The 4,965-nt window shown below is 41.5% G+C and overlaps 1 annotated feature.

Moving 5' to 3' along the window:
- Positions 1,590-2,789: an enhancer, noted in NCBI's record as "P300/CBP strongly-dependent group 1 enhancer chr5:6158863-6160062 (GRCh37/hg19 assembly coordinates)". NCBI's record gives its function as "activates an origin of replication core promoter dependent on BRD2, BRD4, P300/CBP, MED14 and CDK7 cofactors, with strong dependence on P300/CBP, by STARR-seq in HCT116 cells {active_cell/tissue: HCT116}" and the evidence as "EXISTENCE:reporter gene assay evidence [ECO:0000049][PMID:35650434]".

Raw genomic sequence — 4,965 nt, forward strand, 5'->3', positions numbered from 1 at the left:
CAGGCAGATAGAAACACAGCTACATATGCCCATACTATATAATTAAGCAGTAAATTGTGTAAATGAAACAATGTGCTAGAAATACTCAGAGGCATTGGTAGCAGATAGGGGTCTAAGTCTATATTGGATGAGAAGAACAAAACCATCAGCTCCTTTCCCTCCAACATGTAAAGGTTGAAAGGACATGATGACGACTCAGGGCTTGGACAAAGGTCTTGGGCACATGAGCAGATTAAACTCACACAAAGGGTGGCTCAGATCACGTCCACACTCTCACCCCTTGCTTAAGTAAAAGGCAACTCTTTTGAGCCAATCCAAGCATTCTCAACGGAAGTAAGGAGGCAAAAATTGACACCTGGAGGAAAATAAAGTCTTACATATTGCAATGATTTGTGGTCCTTCAAAGCTCAATGCTACCCAAAAAAAAAAAAATCTGTTTCTCAATATTTAATTTATCTTATTCAATTAAATTGAAATTTTCTCTTTAGGGGGGTGATAATAAAAACAAACTGAGAAATATTGACTTAAGCCTTTTTAATAAAAGTTGGCCAAGCTCTCATCAAAATTAAAAACTTTTGAGCATCAAAGAATACTATAAAGGAACTAAAAAGATAGTCTAAAAAGTAGGAGAAAATATTTACAAATCATATATCTGTATGGGACTTGTATCCAGAAAATATAAAGAACAATTAAACTTCAACAATGAAAAAGACAAATAGCCCAATTAAAATAAGATCAAAGGGACTCAACCAGATATTTCTCCAAGAAGATATATAAATGGCCAACAAGTACACAAAAAGATGCTCACCATCTTCAGTAATGAAGAAACTGAACATCAAAACCACAATGAGATACCACTTCAAACACACCGAAAATGACTATCATTAGAAAAGGAAAAAATGGCAAGCATTAGCAAGAATGTGGAGCATTGGAACCCTAGCAGTTGCTGGCGGGATGTTAAGTGGCACACGCCCACTGTGGAGGGCAAGGCAGTTCCTCTAAAGGTGGATGTAGAATTACCACAGAACCCAGCAAATCAATCCTTGAGTATATGCCTAAGAGAAATGAAACGTGTTCATGCAAAAGCTTGTACATACATGTTCATAACAACATTATTCAAAATAGCCAAACAGTGCAAATAACATAAACGTCCATCAATTAATGAAATGGATAAACAAAATGCGGTGTGTCCATACAATGGAATATTACAGTAAGTTCTGACTTAAATGAGTTATTGGAAACTGTGACTTTAAGCCAAAGGACTTGCAGCAGGTCCTTGAATAACGTAATTTCGTTCAACATCATTTCATTATATTGATGGAAGAAAAGAAATTGGTTTCATTATAAGTCATTGCACTTAAAGCCACAGTTTCCAAGAACCCGTTGATGATATTAAGTGAGGATTTACTGTATTTGGTAACAAGAAGGAAGGAAGCTCAGGTACAGGCTACAATATGAATGAGCCTTGGAAACATGCTACGTGAAAGAAGTCAGTCAAAAAGCATTATGTATTGTGTGATCTCACGATTCTATTTACATGAAATGTCCAGAATAGGTAAAGTCATAGAAAAAGAAAGTAAATTAGTAGTTGTCAGGGTCTGGGGAAGAGGCGATGAAGTGACAAAATTGTTGTGAAATTAAACAGTGGTTATGGTTGCACACCTTCTGAATATACTAAACAACACTAAAATATATCCTTTCAAGTGGTGAGTTTTATGATATGTGAATGAAGTCTTTTTTAAAAATTGGTTAGATTATTTTTCCCAGACAAAACTTGGTAAGGGCTCACAGCATTCCTAAGATGCTGAGCAGAGGGAAGAGGTCATCGTGCCTTCTGCTCTTGCACTAGTGAAGAGAAGTCAGCCACCCTCCCCAGACACCGCACCAGCCTAGACCTTGCAATGTTTCTGTTAAAACAAACAAAATAATCTCAACTGAAAGAAGCATTTGGCCAGCTAGGATGTTGCTTCTATCATCTGATTGCACAAGGCTTAGTGATTAATCTATTGATCATTCCCATCTCCTCTGTTAAGCAAGCATGACCATGCCTGATAACTGCTGGGAAGATGAATCACTGAGCGGGGCTGGTGATATTAGTCATGAGTATGTATGAAATTAGAGAAGAGAAGGACGCAGATTTCTATGAGGATTAAGGAGAAAAGCATTCTGTGGCTGTATTTACTCTCTGCTCATCCTCAGCAAAGGTTCCGTAAGTGACGTTTCATCTTCCATTACCTTGTTCCCAAACAGGAAATACTAAAATAAGAGAAGTGCCTTCAGAAAGTGACAGGCACTGAGAGCCAGAATGAATCGTTCGCTACTAACAACCTGTTTGAAGCAGAAAATTTTGCTGCATTACACGAACTGAATTTACAGCTTCCATTCTCCAAAGATTAAAGAGATTATTCCTAATGTAATCAGTAGCCATCGCCTTTAAAATAGAGAACTATTTGTGACTTCAAAAGGTTTTGAAGAAGAGTCTGTGGCTCCATCTTTCCCCAGTATCATTACGATCATTGCTTTGTTTTGCCATAGGCTGCTATTACGTAATTACTTTGGAAGTGTGTGCCTGTGGGGTTTGACTGGTAGAAACAAGGAGGCAGAATTGAACTGGAGCTTGTCCAAGAAGTGGAGAAGGCAGGAGATAGGCATACTGGTGAAAACCTCAGCTGCGCTGCAGGATTCATCTGTGATCGTGTAAACAGAGAGGGGGACCCCTGCAAGCAGTTTCAGCCCTGTGGAGTCCCCATTGTCTTCAGTCTGTGACAACTGTTTCTGAGGCAGTGCACACTCAGAGCCCAGCAAGCTTGACCTCCAGGCCATGTCTGCCCTCCTCTCCCCACAGTCTGTCCTCAGAGAGCCCCATGGAGGCAGTGCCCTCTCTTATCAGGGAGCTTCTTAAGGCAGATTCAGGCTGAGACCTCTCTCCAGGTCTCACAGATTTCACGACTGGGCTGTTCATCCCCCAACCCTGTCCCTGCACCCTCCACTCCACACCCCTTCCCTCCTGCTGTTCCTTGACTTCACTTCCTTTTGTTCTAGTGTCACTAGAAAGAAGGGACAGCTGGTTACCCTCCTCAGCCTAGCAGCCCCTTTTATTCTTGAAAATGGCTCTTCCATCACTAGAATAATTCATCCTATTCTGTCTCTTCCTCAAATTCAGCTTTCAAGCCCTGAAGCACAGTCACTGTTTTCTACAGACACCTCCTCCTTAAATGGCCCTTTTCACTCCATTTGTGGGCTCTCCAGTGGGACACCTCTATTTATTGCCCACTCATTATGGGAATGAGCATAAAGATCTAGCGACAGCCTTTCTGTCTGCATTATAATACCAATTCCTCACTAATTCCCCTTGCCCTTCCATTTAAAGAGATGCTACCTCCTTTGCTTCCTGGCAGACCCAGCAGACCCCCATCCCTCCCTACTAATGAGCTGGCTCTTCCTGCTAATTTAACCTCCACCTGCTCATCCCTCCCATCTGACTCTGGGCCTGGGGAGGCTGTCAGGTCCCAAAGAATAAGCCATGGTTGTTGACGACTCAGGGGAATCAGCCGAAATCCTGAGACAGAACAATAGTTAGTGGTGATGACAAACTTCAAGCCTCAAATCTTTTAAAACAGAAGGAAAGTGGAAAATATCAGCAAAGACTAGGCATTCACATATCAAAAGTAGTTTTGTTTCATTTGAAACAGGTTTACAAAAATCATAAGGAGGTAATGAAAAGTCTCATTTCTTTTCACTATTGTTGGAAATCTGTCTCCTGGTATTATAGAGAGACTATGCCATCTACTCGAACTTCCTTTGCCCCCAGCAGAACTGTCTGAGAGGCTGCTGAGTTCATTTCATCCGGGATGCACTGAAGACTACCAAGAACCATTCCATCCATGGCCATCCTCTGGCAGACATTCTCACCTGGACATCTCCTCTTTCCACGTGCCTCTTGTCCAGGATGCATTTTGTCACATATTTTTTACAAAAGCATGTCAGGAGCCACTTCATAATCAGTCTGAAATAATGTCTTACTGTATAGACCAATGCTTTTTCCAGTGGGGTGCTCTTTCATTTCAGGCTCAGTGGCTTTTTTTTCTGAAGCTTATATAAATCCATGTAATGATATTTCACATATAGAAAGTAGGTTCCTTTAGATACCTCCTGAACTCTTCAGCCTTCAGGAACTTCTCTACCTTCCCTTTGTTTTCTTCATGCCCAATGAGGGCTGCACCTGCTGTGTCCTGTCGACATCTGTTTATTTCAATGACCTGAGTATCGCGGCGTCTTCCCTTACGTCTTCTGCTCAGGCCACAGATGTGATCATCAGCATGACGCATCCGTCATTCACAGGAACACAGCCAGGTGGTAAGGTCTGCCCCTGAGGAATGGTTAATTTGGGTTGATTTTCGTGCATTCCCTTATTTCACTGAAACCAAAGGCATTGGCTGGCCATAACCAGGCCAGGGATGGGGTGCTTTCTTTGGACTAAAGGCTAAAGGGAATGTAACTGACCAACAAAGGGATAGTACTGGGTGGTGCACACACCAGCTAATTGACTGAGCTGGCATGCAGCCTTGCTTTGTCTCAGATGCTGGCAAGGGCGTTATAATTAGATTTTCCCATCGTTGTGGCAAAATAAGGGTCAATTGTCTTGCATACCCAATCATGATTGTACCACCCTTATTGCAGGTTTAATCCATATGCTGAGAAATTATATGGGGATCAAATGCATATTGGCATTAGAGAATGACTCCAGATTGTTCTCAATGGTAGGATTTCATCTGAAAATAAGTGCTGATTTACAAGAATTTACACCTAAAATGCAAATCACAGAGTTCCCCAATGGAGAGCAAAGGAAAGTTGAAGGCAGCTAGCTTCCTCCTTTATCTCAAAAGCAGAGGTCCCATTGGCCTTTAGAGTGGAGAAAAAATCCCAAAGATGTTTCCATAGGCAGCTCCATACACAAAATAGAAA

Source organism: Homo sapiens, chromosome 5 (assembly GCF_000001405.40).
Source record: "Homo sapiens chromosome 5, GRCh38.p14 Primary Assembly".
NCBI lineage: Eukaryota > Metazoa > Chordata > Mammalia > Primates > Hominidae > Homo > Homo sapiens.